General features: G+C 43.5%; 3 pseudogenes across 1 annotated transcript; 2 read left to right on the top strand and 1 right to left on the bottom strand.

Annotated features, from left to right (window-relative positions):
• The first annotated feature begins 2,654 nt into the window (after positions 1–2,654).
• FAR2P1 (fatty acyl-CoA reductase 2 pseudogene 1) lies at positions 2,655–27,788 on the top strand (annotated as a pseudogene). Its single transcript, NR_026758.2, has 12 exons — positions 2,655–3,970; positions 4,374–4,718; positions 5,167–5,360; positions 6,407–6,604; positions 8,206–8,429; positions 13,226–13,396; positions 14,608–14,652; positions 18,524–18,652; positions 18,955–19,075; positions 19,409–19,476; positions 25,303–25,477; positions 26,249–27,788. The product of NR_026758.2 is annotated as a fatty acyl-CoA reductase 2 pseudogene 1 (transcript).
• Positions 4,346–5,360, top strand: CYP4F27P (cytochrome P450 family 4 subfamily F member 27, pseudogene; annotated as a pseudogene).
• On the bottom strand, positions 15,164–15,768 carry KLF2P1 (Kruppel like factor 2 pseudogene 1; annotated as a pseudogene).
• Positions 27,789–27,820: the final 32 nt, after the last annotated feature.

Below are 27,820 nucleotides of genomic sequence, written 5' to 3'. Positions count from 1 at the left end.
GATCCAGTAGTGGGGGTTTTGGCAAGTGGGGACCTACTGGCAGCCAGTTGCTTGGTGTCTGGTCAGTGCAGACCTAGGCTGTGGGGCTTGACCGGTGGCGACCTGGTCAGCTGGGCTTAGTGGTGGCCTGGTCAGCATGGGCTGGGTCACTGGTGACCAGGTCAAGGGGTGCTATTCAGTGGAGGACTGGTCACATGGGACCTAGTCAGCAGGGCCTGGTGGGCGTGTCCTCATCAGTGAGTCCCTTGTCAGTGGGGCCCTGATCAGGGCAGCCTGGTCAGTGGAACCTCATCAGTGGGGGCCTGGTCAGTGATGACTTGGTCAGTGGTGGCTTTTGTACCACTGGTCTACGGGGTGACCCGGTCAGCGGGGACCTGAGTAGTCGGTGCCTGTTCAGTGGGGCCTACTCACTAGGGTCCCAGTCAGGGGCATCTGGTCACCTCAGGCCTGGTTAGTAGGGGCCTGATCAGTGGCAGCCTGTTCCCTGGAGGCCTGGTCAGTGGGGCCTCATCTGTGGGTCCAGGTAGTGGGGTCATGATCAGTGGAATCTGATCAGTGAGGCCTTGTCAGTAATGACCTAGTCAGTGAGGCCTTGTCAGTAAGGACCTGGTCCTTGAGGCCTTGCCAGTGAGGCCTTGTCAGTAAGGTCCTGGTCACTGAGGCCTTGTCAATAAGGACCTTGTCAGTGAGGCCTTGTCAGTGGGGCCTTGTCAGTAAGGACCTGGTCAGTGAGGCCTTGTCAATAAGGTCCTGGTCAGTGAGGTCTTCTCAGTTAGGACCTGGTCCATGAGGCCTTGTCAGTGGGGCCTTGTCAGTAAGGACCTGGTCCGTGAGGCCTTGTCAATAAGGTCCTGGTCCGTGAGGCCTTGTCAATAAGGTCCTGGTCTGTGAGGCCTTGTCAGTAAGGACCTGGTCCGTGAGGCCTTGTCAGTAAGGACCTGGTCCGTGAGGCCTTGTCAGTAAGGACCTGGTCAGTGAGGAATTGTCAGTAAGGAGCTCATCCATGAGGCCTTGTCAGTGAGGCCTTGTCAATAAGGTCCTGGTCAGTGAGGCCTTGTTAGTAAGGACTTTGTCAGTGAGGCCTGGTCAGTAAGGACCTGGTCAGTGAGGCCTTGTCAGGGAGGCCTGGTCAGTAAGGTCCTGTTCAGTGAGGCCTTGTCCGTGAGGCTTTGTCAGTAAGGTCCTGGTCAGTGGAGTCATGGTCATTGTTGGCCTGGCAGCGGGGGTCTTGTTAGTGGGTCCTGGTGATGGGGGTCTAATCAGTGAGGGTGTGGTCAGGGAAGACCTGATGTGTGGGGTCTGGTCAGCAGGAACCTGGTCAGTGGGGACTGCTGAGCGCTGCTTGGAGAAGCCAGGTGCATTGCACGTTATCGAGGGCCCTCTGGACAGCTGGGATGGCCCAGTGATGCCCAATGGCCCGGTCAAAAGTAGACAAAGCAGTTGTTTGGATGGACCTGGGAGATGTTGCTCAGAGATTCTGACAGGACAAAGGTGAAGAAAGGGTCAGAGTGGCTGGAGAGATGGTCACAGTCTATGGGCTGCACAGGATGGAGAAAGCCAGGGAACAGGGAGGGTGGGCAGTGCGGTGCAGGGAGAGGCAGGTGCATGGTGGGACGTCAGACCCTGTGAAGGCTGTGAGGGTGTCAGGTGGGTTGGGCTCCAGGTGCACCCTCAGTGCACTGGGTGGGTATCACCCCAAGCTCCCTGGACCCCAGCCAGGTGATGTGGTCACTCCCTGGGGGACTGCTCTCAGGTCCCGGCTACCTACCCTGGGCAGCGCTGTCCCATCTCAGGACTGGACTTTCTCAGATCCTGTAGAGGGCACAGACTCCACCCAGGAGGGGCAACCGCATGGTGCAGCCTGAGCTCTCCATGGGCCTGGAGCATCCCCTGCCAGCCTTGTGCTCCCCATTCTCCCAGGTCCCACTTTTCCAGTGTCAGCCAGCAGGGATGCCCCATCCTCCCTTCCCCATGTGTCTCCTAGGCTGAAACTTGTGGCAGATTGGGACAGGGATGGTGCTTCCCTCAGGCCCATTTGGGGAGGGGACTGGCTCCCAGACTGGTGCAGGTCCTCAGCTCTGCCTCGACTGGCTTAGAGTGAGATGGATCAGTCAGTTCCCTGAAGGTGAAGATAAGAGACTGTCCCTGCTGTTGGGAGGCTAGTCTAGGGATGGAGGACTTAACAGGTCCTCCCAGGCTGTGAGGCCTGGCAGCACTGTCTTGTCTTAGGACTCAGAAAGTCCAGTCCTGAGATGAGACAGTGCTGCCCAGGGCGGGTGGCTGGGACCTGACAACATTCCCCCAGTGATTGACCACATCACACGTCCAGGGTCCAGTGAGCCTGGCCTCAGACGTGCCCAGTACACTGAAGGTGCACCTGGAGCCCACTCCACCTGATGCCTCCACAGCCCTCGCAGGGTCTGACCTCCCAGCATGCACCTGCCTCTCCCTGCACCCCAGCTGTCCACCATGCCTGTTCCCTGACTTCCTCCATCCTGTCCAGCGGGATGGGATGGACATGGGGACAGCCTGTGTGCACATTTCGTGGCGAGTGGGAATGACACACCATCTCTGGGAGGCACCATGGTTCCTGGCAAACCCGATCCCAAGACTCTGTCCTTGAGGTGGTTTTACCAAATCCCAAACCCAGAACTGCGGTTGTGGCTCAGGGGTCAGCTCCTGCTAGTGCCAGGACACTACTGGGAGGCTGGGACCCGACCAAAGCCCATGGTGTTTCTGGCCTGAGAACAAGGTGTCTTGGGACCATAAGGCCAGGCCACCAATGGCCATTGGGTCATAGGGGCTCAGCCCCAATCTTTGTCTTTCCCTGGCTCCTTCTGATTCAGTCCCATCAGGGCCCTGGATCCCAAGACTCAGCATCCAAGGTCCCCTCCAGGAATCCTGGCAGCTCAGCATACTTTATCCTGTTTCATCTGAGAGCAAAAATGTAAAATTGGATGCACAGAAAAGTGACTCAAAGTGCTTAATGACTAGAAGAAATCTAGGAGCAGCAAGAAGGTAATGTGGAGGGAGGGACCTCCATGACCGGTGTCTGCAGAGCCAGGGGTACAGGCACCCAGTGCTGTGGCCTGGCACCACCTGCCTCTCAGAGGGTGGGTGGCACACTCCTTAACCAGAGGACAGCAGGCCTGGTCACCAGCTTTTCTACCTGTCCCTGTAAGCATCACATTGCTGGAGGAAAATCTCATGCCAGAGCTTGGACCATCCCTAGCTCGGGTTAGGGGTTGTCCCTTGGTGACCTAAATGAAAAAACAGGTCCAGAACAGAGTTCCTGATGCTGGACACTCATTCAGTCTTTGAATCGTGGGAGGGGAGGCCTGGTACTAGGTAGACCTAACCTCTTTGAGGAACCACAGAGCCCAAGGCTGGAAACCTCCAGAATCCTCCACCCCCTGATCCTCCCTGGGGACCCCTGTGGCCTGTCTCACTGAGCACTCTTCCATCTGTAGATGTCTGGGCTGCTGTACAAGGGAGTCCCCTTTCAGGTGTGGTGCTAGACATGGTCACTCCTGCTGGATGTCTAGGTGGTAGAAACCAAGGACCTAGGGAAATACCAGCTACAGCCTTTCCCCGCTCATCCAGAGCAGGACAAACAGGCCAGGCGGTGTCAGGAGCCCAGGTCTCCAGCTGGAGGGAACGTCAACCCTGCGGTGGGAGTAGGGGCCCTTTGCACATCCTAGGCACAGATGGTAATGTAGACACCACAGGTAAGCTGGGCTTGGTACCTACCCCTCCCCGGATTCAGAAAGAAACCAAACAAGGAGCTTTGTGCGGAATGAAACCTCCTTTCCTCCCAGAAGCACTGCTGACTGTTTGGTGGTTGCCATTTGTGGCAGTGAGCCTTTGTTTGTTCTGAGGTTGGGCTGGTTTCTCCTCTTGGTCCTGCCCTACAGATCATAAAGGAGAACAGCAAGAGGTCCCCAGCAAACATCCACAGATGGCCTTGGAAGTAAGTCACCTTGTGAGAAACATGTCATGTTCTGGGAGGGATAAGGCATCAAGTAAGGCCTATGGGGTTGGAGGATCCCTGGGCAGGTGGGGCAATCCTTGGGGTCTTCCCATGGGAATAGGGAGGTCCTGAGGCAGAGGCAGGGGTTCCACAGGAGGAGTCACAGAGCTACCAAGGGCTCTCCTGTGCCAGGAAGCAGTCAACACCATGAACTGAACACCTGCTGGGCTCCAAGCCCTGGTCCAGGCTGGGGCATGTGGGGCCAGGAGGCAGCTCAGAGAGGGAGGCAGAGAGAAGTGTGCTGAGAGGGCACCCATTTCTGGGTGTAATGTGGTCCAGAGATTTTGGCTGGGAAGGGCTTCCAGAGTTTCATATCTGTTACGGAGCTGCTTCCTCTCCCTAGCCTCACCCTGCAGGAATGCCAGTGAACATACTGCTGACATCTTGGAGCTCAGTACCCTCATAGTGTAACGGCGTCAGTAGATCTGCCTGTGCTTGGACTTCCTGTACTACCCATTCCTGAGGGGCGATGCTTCTGCAGGGCCTGTGACTTGGTGCACAACTTCAGACACCATCATCTTGCAGCAGCACCGCACCCTCACTAGCCAGGGTGTTGATGACTTCCTCAAGGCCAAGGCCACATTCAAGGCTTCGGACTTTATTGATGCGCTTGTGCTGAGCAAGGTGGCTTCTCCAGGATCTTAATTCAGGAGGTAGAATGGAGCTTGAGATCAAGTGTCTGATCAAGGTACTTGAACTTGATCTGGAGGGCTCTGGGGAGCCATGGAAGGTGCTGGATAAAGGAGTGACAGTCAGCTATGTTTTCGAGATGACTATAGAAGGCTGCCTGGAAGGAGTGAACAAGAGCCAGGAGACCAGGGAGGGAGCTTGTGGGGCAGGTCTGGAGATGGCAAAGGAGGGATCCTGCTTGGATGAAAGGTCTTCAGGGACTGTCTCAGGTTACACACAGGTGTCCTCAGAGCTAGTGTGTTCAGAGTCTTGCCTCCAGGATGAAAATGGGAAGGAGTTGTCAGACGAGGACATATAAATGGAGGCTGGCATATTCATGAGTGCTGGTGGTGGTCCCGGTGTGGGACTACTGTGGGAACAGGGGTCTCTCCATCCAGGGATATGATGGATGGACCCTACATCACTCCATTCTGCCCTTCCTTTCCCTCCTCCCATTCTCCCCAAAGCCTCAGTGTATGGGCGCTGTTCATCCTCTGGTGCTGAAGCAGCCAAGAGACCCAAGTCTGCCTGGCTGCCTCTTAGGATATGACAGCAGAGCCAGTGGCCTCTACTAGATCCTGTACAACCTCACAAAACACCCAGACATCGGGAGTGCTGCCAGCCTGTGATGCAAGAGTCCTAATCCTGAAGACATTGAATGGTGGGTGCAGGGCCTCATGGCCTGTTCCCCAGCCCCTCTCATTGGCTCTGCTCCAGGTGGTGAAGGGGGAAAATGTTTTTGTCAATTCTGTCATGATTGCCTAGCAAGAAAAGGAGCAGAACCCAGAAGCAGTAAAATCAGTTAGTAAAATCAGTTTTCTTTTCTGAACTACATTTCTACCATCTGTAATTGAGGGGAATTCCTTCGACTCCACGAGATTGCTTGGAGAATGACTGACAGTGTATGTAGAGCAGGTGCCAGCCAGCAGGCGTTTGGTGTCCAGAGCACTCTTCCCCCTTGATTTTCTGCCTATATTTTCATTTTGTTCCCAAGACCCTCACTCCCCTTAATTTTGCTTTTCCCTCTGATTCCCACCTTATCTTCTATCCCATGGATTCACCAGGATGTAAGTGGGTAACAGTCATCTATGCATGTATGTGTATGTGTGTATGTTCTCTGTTGGTGTTGGAGTATGGTGTGTGTGTGTGTGTGTGTGTGTGTGAGAATGTGTGTGTGTGTGTGTGTGTGTTGGGGTCACTGAGGGACTGAAACTCTCCACACCAGGCTGTGGTCCTGCTCACTGCTGGAGGCGCTGTCAGGGCTCTTGCCATTGACCCTCCAGGTCTCATTCTTGCAGTGCAGGCAGGGCATTCTGGAGGAATCATGTCCTTGGACGAAGCCCTGAGGAGTGACTGGTGTGTATTGGTGGATAAATAATCCAACTCCCTTGCTCTGGGTGGGATGACTCTGAGGCACATGTTCTATGCTGTCTCTCAGAGGTACCCGGCAGGGCTGAGTCCTGGCTGCCCACAGTGGAAACTTTCTTGATGAAGGTCCCTTTAACTGCTACATTCCATTCCTGTCTCAGTTCCCCACTCCTCTACTGGTGTTGCCTGCAATTAGTACTCTAAGGAAGAACTGACAGTAGAATTACTGTCCTGGAGTCATCTCCAGATAAAATTTTTATACTTGAATCTTTGCCTCAGGATCTACTTCCAGGAAACTTAAACTAAGACACACATTTTTCTTTCCTCCAATCTTCATAGACCTGTCATTCTGCTGTTTTTACCAAAAAGGATCATGAGGATCAGAGAGGAAAAGTCACTTGCCCAAAGTCACACAGCTGAACAGTGGTGGAGTTCAACTTTGACCATGGGCTGTCTGGCCCCAAGGTGTATGCTTGCTTCTCTCCCAAGAGACTCCTTTCTTATCAGGCTCAAATGAATGAAAGGAGGATGTTAAAGGTAGGATCTCTGAAGCCTGTGCCAGTGGAACCGCAGCTCATGGCTGGCACCTGTGTTCTCATTCTTACCTCATTGAGAGTAAAGTTTATTGAGTTTATTGAATTTAAGTATCTTTAGTGAGATCATATATTATTAGTAAGAACTGGGACCAAACAGATTTTCTGACTCTAAAAGAGAGATTTTCACAGAAACAGATATATACCTATAAGTATACAGACACGCATACACACATTTCTTTACTGCTCATAAAAATTAGTCCTTATTAGAATGTGGGATGTATAAATGTAAGAGAATTTTCATGTTAAAATTGACAGATACATTTTTAAATTGTCCTAAAAGAAATTTAATTATTTTTCTTTTAGAATTTTCCATTATTAATGTTATTTTTATGGAAAACTATATAACTTTATTGATAATACATACGATAACCCTTTGTTTTTCACATTGAAAATACAGTGTATTTTGCAAATAACTAAGTCCTAATTTTGTATTAAAATTTAAAATTTTCAATCTTTTTTTATTATATTTTAAGTTCTGGGATACATGTGGAGAACATGCAGGTTTGTTACATAGGTATACACATGACATGGTAGTTTGCTGCACCCATCAACCTCTCATCTACATTAGGCGCTTATCTACATTTGGTGCTACATTATGATATGGAGAAATAGGAACGCTTTTACATTGCTGGTGGGAGTGTAAATTAGTTCAACCATTGTGGAAGACAGTGTAGTGATTCCTCAAGGATCCAGAACCAGAAATACATTTGACCCAGCAATCCCATTACTGAGTATATACCCAAAGGATTATAAATCATTCTACTATAAAGACACGTGCACACATGTGTTTATTGCGGCACTGTTCCCAATAGCAAAGACTTGAAACCAACCCAAATCCCCATCAGTGATAGACTGGATAAAGAAAATGTGGCACATATATACCATGGAATACTCTGCAGCCATAAAAAAGGATGAGTTCCTGTCCTTTGCAGGAACATAGATGAAGCTGGAAGCCATCATTCTCAGTTAACGAACACAGAAACAGAAAACCAAACACCGCATGTTCACTCATAAGTGGGAGCTGAACAATGAGAACAAATGGACACAGGGAGGGGAACATCACATACCGGAACCTGTCAGTGGGTGGGGGGCTAGAGGAGTGGGGGAGGGATAGCATTAGGGGATTTAATAATTTTAAAATTCAATTCTGTTGAAATGTTTACTCCAAGAAGCAATGTGTTTTTGAGAGCTAATCCTGATATATTCAAATCTTAACGACTTAAGTTGATGGAGTGGACTTCTTTTAAATTAGTGATTCCCTAATTTACCTGACAGTTGGAATTTCCAGGCCATGTTGAAAATACAGATTATCCAGACTCTTACTTCTGCAGATGTATTTAGTGGTTCTAAAATGGCACCCAGGAGTCTGGATTTTTCCCAGGGGCCTTGTGTAATTCACACTGATGACCAGGCAAGTTTGGGAAATTGTGCCTTAAGGAGATTTTTCATTAAGCAGTCTTCATTTGAAAAGAGGATCATTTATCTTCTAATACCCCATGCTTCCTCTTTCTCCTGCTCTCTTTGTCTCCTGTTGTTTTTCAGTTCCTAGAAGCTTTAATTGAATGAAAGTTCCTAGTAGATCTGTACCTACTAAAAACCACACTTCTGAAGCTACGTGGCCACCAGAAGACACAGCTAGTCTGCCATGTAAAAAAGGAAAGGTGGCGTGTGCCCTGAAGGCGCAGGGGTGAGAGGCAGGGAAATGGAGACCCCAACAGCCAGCATCAGTGGCCCTCATCACAGCCCTCCAGGAGATATCAAAGGAGGTCAGACCTTGGACAGTAGTCTTGACTTCCTGCTATAGAACACATTGTTAACACTGAAAAAGATGATCTGTTCTAGGGGAATGGTGAAAGCTGACTCTAGCACTTGTGCTTTTTGTTTGTTTGTTTGAGATTTGAGTCTTGCTCTTGTTTCCCAGGCTGCAGTGCAATGCGTGATCTCAGCTCACTGCAGGCTCTGCCTCCTGGGTTCCAGCTATTGTCCTGCCTCAGCCTCCCGAGTAGCTGGGATTCCAGGTGCCCGCAAGTGTGCCTGGCTAATTTTTATGTTTTTAGTAGAGATGGGATTTCGCCATCTTGGCCAGGCTGTTCTCCACCTCCTGACCTTGGCCAAAGTGTTGGGATTACAGGCATAAGCCATTGTGCCAGGCCTGTGTTTTTAATTTCATCATGGCACAGCTTCAAAATGACATCTAAGTAGCTGACATAAAAATGAAAATTCTGTGTACTTTGATATTAGCAGGCTTCAAATACAAACCAGAATATGAGTAAATTGTTTCTTAGCCAAACTGAATAATTTTCACATTGGCAGGCCATTGGTAGGCTATTCAGCATCTGGCTCATGTTTGGGCCAAGCTGGGTGCCTCATGAAAGTCTGGAGGGAAATACAGAGGGCAATTCTCCATAAGCATTAGGCTCAGAAATATCCTGCTTCCCAGTGAAAAGTTTAAGTTGACTTTCACGCCACCTTCATCAAACCGAGGTTGGTCAACACTTTTCACCACTGCCACTGGACACTTTGACTTCCAATTTTGCTACCTGCTGTACAAAGATACCCCCTTCTTTCCTTTCCTGCATTCTCCCTACAACCTTGTCTTTTTTTGAGTACATCCACTCTGTCTCATCATTGTCCATCTCTGCTTCCCAAAACCTTATATAGTACAGAAATTGGCCAATCAAGATTACCATGTGGAAGAGCATCCATTTACTGAATAAGGTAGCTGGCTCCTGGGGGCAGAAAAGTGATTAGACACAGAGATAAAAATCATAATCCCTGCTCTCCTGGACTCACTGTCTAGTGGGCAGACAGACAGATGAACAAATACAACTTGATAACTACAACAATCAAGTGAATTATATAATTTAGACTGGAGAAAGAGAGCAAACGTTATCATAAGACAGTGTGTCCACTACTTACTCTCTAACAGATTTACTCATAAACCACTAGGCTTGCCAACTTGTTGAATGAGATAAAATTGGAGGGTCAGGGGATGGGAAATGCATATGCTTCTTAGTATTTCATTCCATAAATACATAAATAATGAAACCATTAATGATATCATCATGTTGATTCAATAAGTTTGAAAGCAAAATTGATAGTAATCTTTGGAAGAAATTGTATATGTGTCTATGTATGTACATACATAGACATACATATTGCTTTCTGAAATTTTCAATGACTTTATGCTTCTTCTGAAGCAATTCGAGTTTAGAATTTGAGACCCCTGGGTCAAAACATCTTCTTGAGTATACTGAAGAACATTTGGATTAATTTCAGACACGTATTTTGGTTTATATAGTGTTTTTTATCCATGGTAACTTATTTACTGTTTAAAAACATATTGAGAACAAACAGCAGCAGCAACCCTGAATTGAGTGAAAGTCCTGAGAAGGGCTTTGCCCAATCAGTGCATGTGCATGTTTACACTAATCTCCTGTCTGAACCTAGGAACTGGCTGAATGAGCTAGCAGATGGCCTGTCTGGCTGCATTATAAATGATAATTTATTTTTATTTGTTTTACTCATTCATTCATTTTGAGACAGGGTCTCACTCTGTCATCCAGGCTAGAGTATGGTGACACAATTATGGCTCACTGCAGCCTTCAACTCTCAGGCTCAAGCAATCCTCCTGCCTCAGCCTCCTGAATAGCTGGGACTACAGGTGCACACCACCATGCCCAGCTAATTTTTAAACCTTTTTTTGTAGAGACTGGGTCTTATTATGTTGCCCAGGGTGGTCTCAAACTCATGGACTCAAGCGATCCTCCTTCCTTGGCCTCTCAAAGTGCTGGGATTACAGGCTTGAGCTACCACATATGGCCAGAAATGACATTTTAAAACCAACTATTACGTACACAGATATATGATGCTCTCCGATTGTTTTATCTAAAAATAGGAGTGCCTTAGGTTTATTGGCTCATTTTGTTTTATCAAACAGCTTAAATGCAGTTGTGAATATTTTTGTTTACCCTCATAACCTGAGAATTTAGAATGAATATAATTATTGCCATTTTCACAAGTAAAATTGGAACGAGAATATAAAACAGTGGAATACAGGTGCAGCTAAGAGTAGCAGAGGTAAGCCATCTATAGAATATTAAAATTTCTTCCATGTGTGTTGTTAGAAATCTATAAAACCAAAATTTTTTCATGCCTGGAATCCCAGCACTTTGGGAGGCCAAGGCGGGCAGATTACCTGAGGTGAGGGGTTCGAGACTAGCCTGGCCAACATGGTGAAACCCCGTCTCTACTAAAAGTACAAAAATTAGCCAGGTGTGGTGGGCACCTGAAATCCCAGCTACTCAGGAGGCTGAGGCAGGAGAATTGCTTGAACCCGGGGAGTGGAGATTACAGTGAGCCAAGATTGTGCCACTGCACTCCAGCCTGGGCGACAAGAGTAAGACTTCATTTCAAAACAGCAACAACAACAACAACAAACAACAAGAACAACAACAACAAAACCCAACATTTTCTAATACAAGGAAACTCACTAAGCTTTATAAGGCCCCCATCCCTCCAAGTATTATCCTTTCCGGCTGCCCCAACATTAATGACAGCAACTGGTACTAGCCATCTGACATACAATCCCAGTACATTTTTGGGCTCTGATGTTTTCTAGGAATTTTTTCTTTACAGACTTATTGAAATTAAGCTCTATTCCCTGAAGACCTGGTTTTCATAAACTGTATAGTTTTGCAGTTGAGGGGAAATGGTCTTAGGTCAGTCAATCCACTGTTGACACAGAAATGAAATGAGGTAACGGTAGGATTATTGTTAAGATTGAGAGATGTATGAATCATCCTATGCTCTTTCCCAGCCCCCAGGTGACCATATAATTAAAATATCCTTGATATTTCTATGTAGTTTAAGTTTTTAATTCTAGAACCCCTCAATCTTTCTCTATTCAACTTAAATGAAAAGACATTTAGTATCCAGAAGACACTCAGCACTCAGAAGCAAAGGAAGAAAAATGGAAACATAATGGTCAATGCCCATGTTCTACCCCAGGATCAAATGAGGCATTAATATTGAGAGTTGTGATTCTGAATGAGTCTTAACCTCATGCACATCTTAGTTGTTCAAAAATGTGTCATGTCAGCAAGGTGGTAACAGTGAAGATTTTCTACAATCAAAATAGTATAGTTATGTTCTGTTGTATAAAATAGAAATAAATGGACCACATTGATCAGAAAAATCACCCTAGCATATTCCGACAGCTTAATTTTTAAAAAGCTATGTTATATTAACAATTTAACCACATAGATCTGTCAGCTAGAATACATGTTGCATATTTAATTGACAATAATTTTTTTTGCTCTCTCAGAGAGTTGTAGATAGATTTTGGGGTTATCAAATGGTTCTGACTTTTTTTTTTTTTTTTTTTGAGATGGAGTTTTGCTCTGTCACCAGGCTGGAGTGCAGTGGCAAGATCTCAGCTTACTGCAACCTTTGCTCCCTGGTTTAAGTGATTCTCCTGCCTCAGCCTCCTGAATAGCTGGGATCACAGGCGCACGCCACCATGCCCAGCTAATTTTTGTATTTTTAGTAGAGACGGGGTTTCACCATGTTGGCCAGGATGGTCTCAATCTCCTGACCTCGTGATCTGCCTGCCATGGCCTCACAAAATGCTGGGATTACAGGCATGAGCCACTGTGCCCGGCTGGTTCTGACATATTTTTAAGAAAGTTTAGGCTGATGCTATGGTAACTCAGTTATTGATGATACATGTCATCTTGTAAGTAGGAGTATTCAATATTCATGGTTTTGAAGCAATTTCAGAGTACTATAATCACCACACTTGACAGACTTCAGAATTCATTGAAAATCTCTGGAAATAATTAGCAATTTGTTATCATAGACTCTAAACAGACCTTCAAAATGCATTACATAGATTTGGTAAAACAGATTGTCAGTCTGCCAAAAGTAATCACTCTGGTTTGATTTGCATTGAATGAAAATTTTAAAATGTAAAGCTAAACTCTTCAGGATCACTGCACTGGGTTTCTATAGGACAACACTGAACAGGGCTGCCACTGAAACACCTTGGATGAGAGCCTCAAACTCCCTGAACACAGCTTCCAGCACACTACTGGGAGAATGATTGGGACTCAAAAATATGTGCAATGAATGTACTTACGACCTTGTTGGAAAGGAAGTAAAGAGGTTGTATGTAATTACCTCAAATTAATACTGCTACAGATAAAGTAGTAATTAGCACTGACAAAGTAATAGTAGCGCTAAAGTAGTATTAATAGCCCTACACTAGTAGTAGTAATAAAGTGGCATCGCTATTGATTCTATCCGTCTACCTACCTACCTGTCTGGATAGGAGGGCATAGGATTTGACTGTAAGATTGGGCTTAGCAGTGAAAACAAAAGAGCTCATGCATGCTTTGGACAGGTATGCACTCAAACTTGGTATCATGTGACTGTTCTGAATTCCAGAACCAAGGCTAAAAGGTGGAAGTTTTGTTTGACTGTGTCTCACATTTTCCTTTTGGTCTATTGTCTAACACATGTTGCTAGAATTCTTTTTATTCTGACTACCTTTTATGTATAGACAACGCCATTATTGACGAGATCACTCCCAAGCGGATTGGAGATTGTCCCAATACTTAGACCTATAGCAAGGCCTTGGGAGAAATGGTGGTGCAGCAGGAGAGCAGGAACCTAACCATTGCCATCCTAAGGCCCTCCATTGTGCGGAGCAACGTCGCACCAGCTTTTCCTGGTAAGCCCACTTACCTGGATTCTGTGTTTTGCCTTCAAACTAAGGTTCTTCTAGCCCAATTATTTTCTGATGTCTTTCTTCTTCTTCTTCTCCTCAGGATTTATAGCTAAGTGCAGCCAATCAAATATTAACCCATTATACTAGGGCAAAATTCCACTTTGGGATCATGTGGCTCTTCTGGCAGTTACCCTATCTTAGAGTTGGATGGAGATCTTAAATTAGCTTCTAACTACTCTAGTCTCAAAATTCCCATGGGTGATGTTTTCATATCTTGGCTTTCCCACTGTAGCTTAAACATATCAGAATGTTCTTGATGGCCAAATTGGTAGTATTGCAACTAACTGCCAGGGTTACAAAGCTCACAGAAGGATCTCAGTTTGGGAATACTAATTTTTTTTAACCTCAGTATACTGCTATGTCCTTTTGAAAGTACTTTGAATTATACCATCTTCTTCAAAGCAAGTCCGTGAAGCTTTGGGGGCAGATACATTCCAGCTCCACCACTTACTGGCAATGCAACATTTTTGAGTTGTTCTTTCGGTAGAACAGGACAGATACTACTTTGGAGAGTTGGTTTAATGAGACAATGTATGAGGAGTGCTCAGTCTCTAGTAAAAGGTAGATCCCTACTAAAAGGCTCAACGAATATTAGTCCCTTCATCTTCTCCTCCCGTATATCTGGTCTCCCATTATATGCATTTCGACTTTTATACTGTAAGGTAAAGAGACGGCTTAGGGCTTAGGAAACAAACTCAAAAAGACATTTCCCTCTAACTACTCTTAAGCATAATCTTTCCTGTAACATCTTTAAGCAAGTCAACACACATTATTACCAATCATGTTTTCAATGTTCTCCTAAGGAGGCTAAAATCAGGAATGAGGTGAAGTATGGTTGGTGAATTGCTTAGCAGATCATGATATAAGGACAAGGTCCATTGTAGCCCTTAAGTTGTCATAAAACACCACAAAACCATTCATGACTCCTGCTACAAACAACAATCCTGGCCAAATTTTAATTCTTGCACAAACTGCAGAAAATAGCCAACGCTTTGCCATTGATCTTTGGGATCTTAATAATACTGAATTAGATAGTTCTATCGGCTGGAGTCTCAGTGCCCTTGTTTGAAATTTATTAAGATTAGACGGCAGATGTTCCAAAGATACAACAATTTTCTGAAATGTGTAACCAATGGAAATTTTCTTTCTTTTAGGGTTGGGTTGATAATCTAAATGGATGTAGCTGACTCATTATTGCGGTATGTATAGGGATGAGGAAGTAACTGTAATGTAGTGGAGGAATAGTAAGAAAATTCTTAGTGCTGGCTTAGCTTCATTGATCCAAAAACATAAATGCTACTTTACTATCAATTGAAGCATATTATTTCAATTATTCTGGTTATAATATGGGGGCAGGATGAAATTGTTTTTATTCTTTTAGAATTTTTTTTATCAGGAAAACAGAGGTAAAGTGCTATCAATTACTATTTAAGAGTTCTATTTTGAAAAGTGAGAATTAAGGATTTTTCTTTTCTTTTTAAAAAAAACTTTTTTAAAAATTAAAAATAAAAGAAGCAAAAGTCTTAGGAAAATGAGGCAAGTAGCCCTGCCACTCTATGTACAGTAATAACAATATCTGTCCCAGTTATTATGTACAATATTATAAAAAATGTCGCAGACAGTACAAATTAAGGCCCTTATTTCTCAAAGGACATCAAGTCTTATGCCCCGTGGGAGGGAAGATGCCACTTAATTATTGCACCATTTTGAAAAACAGAACTCGTCAAGGCGGATAGTGGTCTTTTCCCACCTGGTCTTCAGTCACAGATGGGGGCTGGGGCGGTGGCGCCGTCTTCGTCGTCGAGGTAGACCCTATGGAGCCACACCGCCCTGCCGAGTTCTCTGGGTGCAATAAATACCAGTCACAGTTTGGGAGGGGGCCGCGTGCAGGTGGGGAGGCCTCTGGGCTGCATGTGCCGCTTCCTGTGCAGGGCAAGGTGGGCAGAGCGCAAGAAGGCGTGGTGGCACCAATGGCCCTGAAATGGCCGGTGGCCCCTGTGCTTGTGGTGGTGGAGCGTTAGCTTGTCTGAGTGAGCACACTTCCAGCTGCTTCCATCCCAGTGGCAGTGGTCGGGCTTGTCACTTGTGTGCTGCGCAGATGTGCCTGCAGGGGAGAATTCTTGCTGTAGGTCTGGCCGTAGCCACATAGGTATGCCTGGTGTTGCAGTTCCCAGGCCAGGAGCAGCTGCCACGCTTGGGCGTGGCCTCCAGCAGCTCCAGCGGGGACGCCGGTGCCACCACAAGGAGGCCGCGGGCGACTGGGGGTGCCAGGCCCAGGGCTGTGGCGGCGGCGGCCACCGCCTAAGAGACTAAAGACAGGGGCGTGGAGGGGCGGAGCTGGGCGGGGGGCGCCTCATGAAGGCCGGGCTGGGTGTCCCAAACCAGGGCCACGGAAGGGCAGCGGGAAGGAGGCGTGCGGGTCGTAGGGGCTGAGGGGCAGGTGTTGGGGGCGGAATGGGAGGGACCCGGGACCTCGCATGCATGAAGCTGCAGGCCCGGGGCGCCCTAGTGTTTGAGAGGACGCGCGATGCATACCTGAACCTGGGTGCGCAGCCGCAGCTGCCGCCATCTGCTTCAGGGTGCTGGGCTTTGACCAGGTGGCTGGGCAGCGCCAGTTGAAAGCGGTTGAGCAGGCAGGGCGCAGTGGCTCACGCCTGTAATCCCAGCACTTTGGGAGACCAAGGCGGGCCGATCACGGGGTCAGGAGATGGAGACCATCCTGGCTAACAGGGTGAAACCGCGTCTCTACTAAACATACAAAAAAAAAAAAAGTAGCCGGGCGTGGTGGTGGACGCCTGTAGTCCCAGCACTTTGGAAGGCTGAGGCGGGCGGATCACGAGGTCAGGAGATGGAGAACATCCTGGCTAACAGGTGAAACCCCATCTCTACTAAAAGTACAAAAACCAATTAGCCGGGTGCGGTGGCGGGCGCCTGTAGTCCCAGCTACTCCGGAGGCTGAGGCAGGAGAATGGCGTGAACCCAGGAGATGGAGCTTGCAGTGAGCCGAGATCGCGCCACCGCACTCTAGCCTGGGCAACCCAAGGAGACTCCATCTCAAAAGAACAACAACAACAAAAACCAGCTGAGCAGCGCGGGCCATGTGGCAGTGGGTCCAGCTCCAGGGCGCCGTAGGGCAGCGGTGTGCAGTGTTCGGGTAATAGGACGCAGACGGCGGGGTCGCCGGGGGCTTCGGGGTGGCCTCGGCCCCAGGCCATCCAGCCCTGTGGACCGAATGGAGTCCCGCACGCTGTTGAGGTAGTTGTGGGTTCCCCTGGCCTCGGGCTGGGCGCGGGGTCAGCGCACCTGCAGGCGGCGCTTGCGGTACGGGCTGGTGAAAGTGGAGATGGACGGCAGGATGGATTCACTTGGCCACATGGCGCGAAGCTGGGAAGACGGACACCGGTGAGTGGCTGCCCGGGAGGGCTGGTCGGGGCGCGGACAGGCGGGCATGGTTCTGCCAAGGATTTTGCTTTATTTATCGCAAGATGGGGTATTTCCTCCTTTCTTCAGTTTATAATTGCATGAATTAGTGCAGTGAATTGAGGATGCAGTAAAAATATCTTCAAAGATTATTAAATTCGTTATTATAAAACACATAGAAGAGTTTATGTGTGTATATGGAAAGCAGGTATACATCAATAATTCTTAATGAATACAAGAAAGAACTACCAATATTGGGGCAAATTTTTCAAATACAAACATCAGTGAATATAGGCAAGGCCTTTTCTTTTTTATTATTCTATTTTAAGTTCTAGGGTACATGTGCACAACGTGCAGGTTTGTTACATAGGTAGACATGTGCCGGCAACGCCTTTTCAATAATGTCTTACAAGGAGAAACGTGGCTCCTCTAGGTGAGCAGCCCTCAGTGCCCATCTCCCTGAAGTCCACATTGATCCGGCAGAGCTGTGGGGTTCACAGCTCACACTGAGGCATTCAGGGCCTAAACCCCACTTTACTCTTTTGTACAATGAATGGGAAATCAGTGATCTAAATGAGTTTAAATCTTATTAGGGATTCAGACTGCTCTTCAGACTCTGTCTCTATTCCTACCAGAGCTGGGTTCAACATGAATTCAAATAGAAATATGAGACAATGAATTATGGTAGTGACAAAGACCTTCCTTCGAATTCCGGATTTTTCTAGCAGCCCCTTTCTTTCTGCTTCCCACCTGCCTTCAACTCTTTCTCCTAAAAAAGTTCAGTTGGGGTGAAGTTTGGTGACTTAGAACATCATTATTTTAACGTGATCCCAAAGCGGTTTTCATTATATGCAAAGCTGTATATTTATTTACATTTTAAAAAATGTTCTAAATTGGTTTCTTATGTCCAAAAGAAGGGGAGCTAGTTATAAGAAAAGAGAATTGAGTAACATAAGAAAGTGCTAATCATTTCAAATTAAAGTGGGAAACATGCAAAGCAGAAAGAATGAATTTCATAAACTCAACAAATTATTAACATAAATAAGTCCAAACTCTTGTATCTATATAACATCAGTGATCTGTGAGGTGAAATGAGATTCTGAAGAAAAAGTAAATAATAAGGCCATTTTTCTAAGCCAAAAAAGTTTTTGTCATTAATTGTGGAATTTCACAAATTAATTTTTGTTCAAATAAAACTTTCTTAAACTTTTAGTGCTTACTATTGCTTGTAGGTTAGTAAACCCTAGCAGAAAACAAAATCATTAAGGAAATGGAAAACAAACATTAATGGGGAATTTGTGTAACCTTAATTCTTAACGTGTCTTATGAGTTAATTTTTTAAATGTGAAGGTTTATTCTTGGTGTTTGGTAATTAACTAAGTTTATTAATATCTCAAAAATATGAGGAATTTTATTCCCTAAAGGAACGTGAGGAACACGAGTAGTTCAAGAAAATGCTGAAGATGCGCTTGGCTGGGAAGCTAGGATAGGCTGACGAAGTCAGACTTAGTGTGGGAACCTGTTAAGCAGTGGATCGATGTTAGCTGTTTTCACTTATTGCACTAGTATAATCAGTTTGATGATACATACTTTAGCCCCAGCTGTTACTTAAGACCTGGTTTCACATTTTATGTTCTTTTTCCTGTGCAGGCTGGGAAAGGGTTTCTTCTGTCCATAAAAGCTACTCCAATGGCTGTGGGAGACTTAATTCCAATTCCAGGTGATACAGCCGTCAATCTCCCACTAGCTGTAGGATGGTGTGTGTGCTGCAGTTCACAGGTGTGGATGCTCAAGTGGGCTTTCAAAGATGTCATGAGAGGGAGGGTTATTGTATTAGGCACATTTTCCAAATATAGGCATTTCATTGTACAAGACCCCAAATGTGAGAGGGTGTTTGTTTCAGTATTTTATAGAGTTCCTAATATGCCATCATATATACATTCAGTTGTTTTCAAAATACAGTTTAGTACTTGGCTACTCACAAAGTAATAAAACATTTAAATCACTTAACCATACAATTCTTGATAACCAAAAGGCTTTTCTTTCTACTCAGTAGTTTAACATTCAGCTTTCTTTTTTAGGGCAAAGGAGATAGAAGTGGATGAAATGAGAGAATTTTCTTTAATTGAACTCTGGTTAATGCCAAAAGTGTTCAATCACTATGTGTGGGGAAGTTTCCTGGTACAAAGGAAAAAAAAACAGGTTGTTCATACATTTGGCTGTGTTAGTATGTGGTAAACAGAATTAAATTTTTTTATGTGAACTCGTACATATGTGCTTCATAATATGTCACTCCTATTTAACATCTCTTTCACACACACACATCCCCCCACCTCCGCACACACCCTTTTGCTAGTCTTCTTCCATTTTGCTTATTAACCCAAAGAAAGAAAAAAATACAGAAGCCTTCTTGCATAGGTTGCTTTAATCAGATGAATTATTGAAGCCACTCTGTCTAAATATTATTTTCCCTTATTTTTCTTTCATTAGTTTTTCATTCAGTTGTATTTATTTAATTTTTATTTCATTTTCCAGACCTAAGTCAGTGTTAGTCTACCACTGTACATCTGGTAACCTCAATCCCTGCAACCGGGGCAAAATGGGTAAGTACTTTAGCCATGTAACTGCATAATTACTAGTGTCTGACACAGAGAAGAAATAGACAGTGTGTCATGGAGATTAGAGCCTACATGGGGAGGAGGACAAAAAGTAAGCAAAGAGACAAAATAATGAGAAATTGTAAATGTGTGGTAGTTAACTAGAATGTACTGTGGTTACCAAGGAAAGGAGTCATTGGGAACACATACATGATTGTAAGCAGTAGGGGGTCCATTGGCTATAGAGATTTTAAAAAACAATGATGAAATAAAGCAAAAGTTGGCAGTTATAAAGAATCTCAGTGATAAAATACTGAAATACTCCTCCCTGCTGGGGCAGTGGGTCCTATACACACCCCTTCCCTTGTTGATATGTCACTGAGAATGCGACGTGATCAATGACCAATGAGATTTAGAAAAGTCGGGTGATATTATTCCTTCCTTATTGAGTGTGTAATAGTGATCACTAATTTATGCAACTTGTTTCTCTTGGGTGTGCATTAACTACTCTACTAGTGATTTGTAAAAGTGAATAGGAATCACTATGGGAGAATAAAAACAACAGCCAGATTCCTTGGACCCTGTGACCAAGGTCTTGGGTGATGCTGAGAAAACTATATTTTTAATAAGCATCTAGATGTTTCTTGATGCTTGTGGAAATGGTCTTTGAGAAACCCTGTACTATACAAATGATTAATTTGTCTGAATGTAAGGGATTTAATCTGATCAATGTACAAAAACCATGGAAATCAATTTGAGTACAACTTAAACATCTAATGATGGTAGAAGATAAAAGTAGGGAGTTTTGCTATTCTGTAGAATTTCTTAGTACCTACTAACTAACGCACCCCTTCTATCCCTGTTACATAGGTACCACTAGCTCTTCATATTCCAATGGTAAGCCATGGTACCACACTGAAAGTTCTATTGCAGGGCAGCTGGACACTGTGGCTCATTTATATATTGTGGGTTTGAATTGAAAAATGCTTTTCCACAATGAAAAATACCTGGCCTGCATGTTTCCTCTACCTCTCTCACACCTATAGCAAACACTGCGGGCTGATACGACATTGGTTATCCCTGTGCCAAGGCTCTGTTCTAGATTCCCTTCTAACACAGCATTTCTGGAAGCTATTACTATTAATTTGATGTTGCATTCAAATTAAACTCATTTGTGTTTCCTATTGGGGACTCTTCAGAGGGATAAAAATGCTTCCTACTAGGAGCAGTAGCCATGTTAACAGGAGGTTGAGCATATATAGTCTCAGGTGATATTACAAGGAGTGATAGACAGCTGGGTGGGTGAACATGGGCTATCTCTCCATTGAATTGTCTCCTTTAGTGTCCCTTAAGAAGAGTTTTTAATCTCCTGCATATAGATCTTAAGCATCTTTTATCAGATTTATACCTAGGGCCTAGGTAATTGATGCTTTTTTTTTTTAACTAATTTAAATGTCTTTTGTAAAAATACATTTTCTAATTGTTTGTGGATGATGTCAAATGCAATTGATTTTTGTATATTGACCTTATATTCAGCTATCTTGCTAAACTTATTATTGCTAGCAATTGTATAAAATTTCCTCATAATTTCCTAACATAATCATAATCTGCAAAAATAGCAGTATTATCCCCATTTTTTCAAGCTTTAGGTCTTTATTTTTCTTGTTGATAGCACCATCTCAGCTCACTGCAAGCTCTGTCTCCTGGGTTCACGCCATTCTCCTGCCTCAGCCTCCCGAGTAGCTGGGACTACAGGCACCCACCACCACGCCTGGCTAAATTTTGTATTTTTAGTAGAGACAGGGTTTCACCGTGTTAGCCAGGATGGTCTCGATCTCCTGATCTCATGATCCGCTTGCCTTCGCCTCTCAAAGTGCTGGGATTACAGGAGTGAGCCACTGCACCCAGCCTTCTTGTTGAACTTCTACTATAATGGTGAATAAAAATGGCAATAGTAGGTATTATTGTCTTGCTGCTCATTTTAAGCGGAAGACTTCAAATATTAAACTCACCTGCCATTTTTAGGATAAACCCAACTTGGTCATACCATGTTATCTTTTTTTATATTTTGTTTAATTCAGTTTGCTAATCATATAGTTCCCTTGTTTTTCTATTATCTGAAAGTGCTTTTGTAATAGTGGAGTAATGTATTCCTCGAAAACTTGGGAAAAGCACCTTTAAATTATCTTGATTTATAATTTTTTGTGAGAAGATTTTTTATTGCTTCAGTGTCTTTAATAGTTAAAGAATTTTGCAGGCTTCATTTTCTGTTGGAATCAGTTTTAGTAAATTATATTTGTCTCTTTTTCTAAGATTTTGTTTGTTCTAAAATGTATTTACATTCTTTTTTATATTAATATTTTTGTCCTAAACTGTATCTGTAATTATGCTTCTTTTTTAATTCATAATATTTGTGTGTCTTCTCTTTTCTTCTCAGCTAGTCTCCAAAGGGTTTATTTTATTTCTTTTTTTGAAAGAACCAACTTCTTCAGGCTTTATTGACTTTTTTCTTTGTTCTTTCTTTCTTTTTTTTTTTTTTTTTGAGATGGAGTCTCGCTCTTGTTGCCCAGGCTGGAGTACAATGGCATTTTCTTGGCTCACCACGACCTCGGCCTCCTGGGTTGAAGCAGTTCTCCTGCCTCAGCCTCCTGAGTAGAGTAGCTGGGATTACAGACATGCGCCACCACACCTGGCTAATTTTGTATTTTTAGTAGAGATGGGGTTTCTCCACGTTGGTCAGGCTGGTCTTGAACTCCCGACCTCAGGTGATCCACCCACCTTGGCCTCCAAAAGTGCTGGGATTATAGGCATGAGCCACCGCGCCCAGCCTATTGACTCTTTATTATGCTGCTTTCTTTTCTATTGCATAGATGTATTGCCTTATCTCTTTTTTCCCCTTCCTCCTGCTTTCTTTGATTATGTTTTTCTTCTCTTTAACTTAGAAATATAGCCCATGAATATTTGGCTTGTCTAATACATCATTTATGGCTTCATATTTCCCTCAAGTGCCACTTTGGCTGTATCCCACACATTTTGTTGTATAATGTTTATGTTATCATTACTCTCTAATCCTTCAACATTTTTCATTTGAATTTCTTCTTTGACCTATGAGGATGTAGAGTGCAGTTTCCAATTGCCAAATTACATTTTCTACATGTGCATGAGTTTCTCCTTGTCCCTCACATCAGACAGACATTAGCTTAATGGTTAAAAGTCTTGGGCTTTGAGATCTAATAGACTTGGATTCAAATCATAGCTCATTCACTCACTCCTGTATTTATTAAATAGACATTATTCTTGGTGCTGAGGATATATCACTAAACAGAAATCCATGCTCACATAGATGTTATATGCTGATATGCGTCCCACCATTTAGTAGACTCCACTCTTATTGTATCAGTTGGAAAAAGTCTCTCAGTTTCTCCCTGTAGATGAATTTTTTTATCTGTCAGTGAGAATAATAATTATTCTATTCTAGGGAGCTCTTGGGAGAACGTAGTGAGACAAAGTGCTTAGTACAGTGGTTAGAACAGTGAACATTTTAGTAAATGCTTGCTATTACCATATGGACAGCTTTCTTAGAAAGCCTTTCCAAACCTAGCCCCACCCCTCCCCTTCCTGGCACCCAGACAGAGCTAGATGCTTCTTTTGTATTCCTCCAGAGCATATTGTACTGGCCTCTAGCAGAATACTCAGGCAAAATATTGTAATCATGAATTGTCCACATCTCCCACCAGACTGCCAGTTCTTTAAAGACAAAGAATATATCATATGTAATTTTTTTTTACCTCAGCATCTACCACAGTGCCTGGCAAGTGTTAAATGCTAAATAAATATATTTGAAATGACTAAAGGAAGGATTGATACAGATTTAGGAAAAGGAAAGTAAGTGTATGTTGCTGAGATATCTATTGATTCGTTTAGTCAAAAAATGTTTATTAGGCACTGATTACCTTCAGCCACTTTTCAAGGTACTGTATAGGTTCAAACAAAACAGACAAAATTTTGTTATGATACTTAAATCTTAGAAAGGAGAAATATACATCAGATATGGTTGAGTGATTGCAGAAAAATAAAACAGATTAAAGAAGTAAACAGTATTGTGGGAAGGCTGCTATTTAATATGTGATGGCCAAAGAAAGTCTCTCTGATAAGGTGTCATCTTAGTAGAGACCTGAAAGAAGTGAGAGGGCAAATCAGAGGGACACGTGGATGAAATATTCCAAGTTGAAGAAATAGCAAGTGCTGAAGTTCTTTAATCATATTCAAGGACAGCAAGGAGGCCAGTGTGGCTGCAGCAGAAGCACCGAGAGGGAGAGCGGTAAGAGGTGAAGTCAGAGTGGTGGGCAGAGAGAGTGAGGATGCAGAGAGTGCAAACCCTTGCAGACCATGGCTTTGCCTCTAAATGAGAAGAGATTCCGCTGAAGGGCTCTGAATGGGGACGTTCCTGTAATACACTCTGAGTTACATTTTACAAGAATCCCTCTGGCTGCTACATGGAGGTCCGACTAGGGTTACAGGGGTAGTGGCAGAGACCACTTAGGACAGTATTGCAACATTCCAGGCTACAGTAGTGGTTTGGATCAGAGAGATAGCAGGTGGTAATTATGATTCTGGGTATTTTTCAAACAGAGCTGATAGATTTTGTTCAATTGTGTGTGGGTTGTTAAAGAAAGAGAAGAATCAAGGATAACCCCAAAGTTTTTGGCTGAACTACTAAACAAATTGAATTAGCATTTGGTTAGAGGTAGAAGACTGGTGAAATAGCAAGTTTGTGTATGTATTGGGAGGGGGGTGGTTAGCAGTGGGTGTATCAGGAGGCCCATTTTAGAGCTGTTAAATGTGAATGTCTCTTACACCTCCAGGTGGAAATGTTGAATAAGTATATGGATATATAGATCAGAACATCAGTGTTGAGATCAGAATCTCTTATGCTATCAACCTGTACATAACTTTCTTATTTACCACCATCTTTTTAAAGTATAAATCCCTATGGACCAGATGATTCTTGAGAATCTTCTCTGAAGAGGAGTTATATTTTTCAGATAGATTTTTAGATTTTAAAAAAATGCCAATTTTTTTAAGTAGGGCAATAATCGTATTACTATAATAACTGACATCATAATTGAATAATGAGCTTAGGCATATGCTTTGCAAAAACCTACATACCTTAAATAAAATTGAATTCAAATGAGTATCTTTTCAAAAGAACTGCTGAATTCACAAATGTATGTAAACAGTTCTTAGTTCAGCTTAATCTAAGTATTAATATAAAAACACTACTATGGATAAAACCCTGGATACCAGAGTGGACAGTTGAGTCTTACATATTCCCAGAGAAATATTTAAAGTAAGCTAACACAAGAAAATCTTGCCTTTAGAATTTTTAAGTTAAACTTTTAATAAAGATTCAAATAAAATATTAAGAAACTTTCTAAATGGTTCTGACAGTAATGGTCCAGCCAGGGAAATAAAGTTTCTAGCCTCTTTCTTGGGGCTTTCAGAATAGACTAGATAACCTTAGAATTAAATGTGGATTTATGTTTTTCTGAACAGTACCCCCTTTTATTGACTACATGTTTCCCCAAGAATTTGTTTTAGAGTAGATGTTTCAAATAAAGGGTCCAATTCTTAACCCATTCACATTGTCTCATTTTGCAGATAACCACTTGCCTAGCATAAAAATCTTTACGTTGTTCTCAGAAATTGATTCTTGACTCTACACAGCAAATCCTTCGTCTTTATTGCTGTGACCCATTATAAATACCTTCCACTATGATGGGCTTATATTCTCCTATTCTCCTCTAGCACTTACTCTCTTTTTTCCCCCAGGTTTCCAGGTCTTGGCAACCTTTGAAATTCCAATTCCATTTGAGAGAGCTTTGACGAGGCCATATGCTGATTTCACCACCAGCAACTTCAGAACCCAGTACTGGAATGCCATCAGCCAGCAGGCCCCTGCCATCATCTATGACTTCTATCTGTGGCTCACTGGAAGGAAACCCAGGTGAGAAGCTGAGTCAATGGCTTTGAGAATGTCACTGCATATGGGAGATTGAGGCCCCAAAGTCTTTAGGGCTTCCTTCAGCCAAAGATTAAAGGAGACAACTGAATCTGACCCATATATACAGATTGAACACACCTACTCTGAAAATCCAAAATCTGAAATTCTCCAAAATCCAAAAGTTTTGAGTGCTGACATGATGCCACAAGTGGAAAATTCCGCACATCTTACCTCATGTGATGGGTCACAGTCAAAACACATTCAAAACTTTGTTTCATGCATAAAATTATTTAAAATATTGTATAAGATTACCTTCAGGTTATGTGTATGTGGCTAAGTGTGTATGAAGCATAAGTGAATTTTGTGTTTAGACATGGCTCCCATTCCCAAGATACCTCATTGCATTGAAGCAAATATTCCAAAATCTGAAAACAGTTGAAACCCAACACACTTCTGACCCAAGCATTTCAGATAAAGGATACTCAACCTGTATAAGTTTTGAACAAACAAAGCAGTCATAGTGAGAAGCCACAGAAGCCTCCTACATTAAAAATGCTCCAGCATAATAAAGGAAGGTAAATGTTAAAGCGCCTGCTTGGTGAATTCAGCAAGTGATCATTCACGCAAAAAGAAAAGCAACTGAGACTCTGTCACTAGGGTTTTTCAAATAGGTAAAGAATCTTAAATATCCAGTAATGATGACAGCCTCACTTACTGGGAGCTTACTCGTGGGGCTAAGGAGGATGCATGATGATCCCATTTTTATTGTCACAGCTACCGAAGGAAGATACCCTCATCAACCCAATTTTACAAATGGAGAAATAGAAGTTAAGGGAAGAATCTGAAGTAGTCTCAAAGGCAGTGACAGGAAGGATGTGGAGAAAGCTGAGTGTCAAAGTCAGTATTCAGGACCGGCTTTACTGCTACTTAGAGATGAATGAAGAAATCAGAGGGAACGCAGTGTGCTGATGCTAAAGCAGCTGTCACCACCCAGCTGTGTGACATAGGACATATTCTTTCTCTGTCTCACTTGACTAATATGATATGTCAGAGGAGACATGATTGTAATTGCCTAAAGCAATTCTTGTGATCAAGACTCAGAAGCACGAACAGTATTGCCCTCTGTGTTAGCCCCTTTATAAGGGAGGATATCATCTTCAGCATGCTGAATTGTCATCTTTCTTAGCAGTGCAAATGACTAAAACTTAGCCAATGTAGAGTTTGTCCAAATTTGGAGCTCATAACTCAGTTCTTGAGCAAAGTGAAAAGAAAACATTGTGATTATGGGGAAAATATTTGACGGGACTTATCAAATAAAGATAGGAAAAGAAGAAAACCCAAATATTATAGGCAGAAATGCTAAAGGTTTTAAAATATGTCAGGATTGGAAGAAGGCATGGATAAAGAACAAAGTTCAGTTAGGAAAGAGAAACACAGAAGGAAGAGACACAATAAAAGTCATTATGTATTCTGTGAGAAGTCAGTAAGATTTGTTGGAAGTGGGTTGGTTTGTTGTATGGTATGTATTTTAGCAATAATCTTTATGGCAGAGAAAGCTAAAATCCTTTAGCTTGCGTGAATGATCACTTGCTGAATTCTTCGAGGTAGGCATGATGAAGGAGGGTTTAGAGGAGACACAGACACAATGAACTGACCTAGATAGAAAGCCTTAGTATACTCAGCTAGGAATAGTGATTCTGAGGACACACTGTGACATGATTATGCCATTACATGTATGGTAGTGATGGGGATGATAGAAGGAAGAACTTATGGCATATTTTCACCCCCCCAAAAATCAGTTAAATATTGGGACACTAACCATCCAGGTCTAGAAAAGTCACATGCCATAGCCATGGTATTGCACATCATTCATCTTGCATTCTTTGAGAATAAGAAGATCAGTAAATAGTTCAGAAGTGGGAAGCTTTGTCCAGGCCTGTGTGTGAACCCAATATTTTGTTTAGAAATAGAACAAGTAAGTTCATTGCTATAGCATAACACAAAATTTGCATAAGTGGTGGTCAGCAAATCCTTGAATGCTGCTTAATGTGAGAGGTTGGTAAAATCCTTTGTGCAACACTCTAACTCCCTGAATGTTTTGCTGTGCTGGGACCTGTGCATGCCAGGCAAGGCCAAGATGGCTCAAAGAGCAACCAGCCACCTCTGCAGCCTGCCACCTCCTGCTGGCAAGATTTGTTTTTGCATCCTGTGAAGAGCCAAGGAGGCACCAGGGCATAAGTCTACTCACTTATATCTGTCTGGAACATAACGCTTGTTTGTTTTTACAACAAATAAAATTGATCTTGAATAAAAACTGAGTGGTCATTGTCATTAATCTTTGAAGCC

Source organism: Homo sapiens, chromosome 2 (assembly GCF_000001405.40).
Source record: "Homo sapiens chromosome 2, GRCh38.p14 Primary Assembly".
In the NCBI taxonomy this organism is placed as follows: domain Eukaryota; kingdom Metazoa; phylum Chordata; class Mammalia; order Primates; family Hominidae; genus Homo; species Homo sapiens.
The sequence above is the reverse complement of the archived record's forward strand: the minus strand, read 5'-3'. Positions and strand labels throughout refer to the sequence as shown.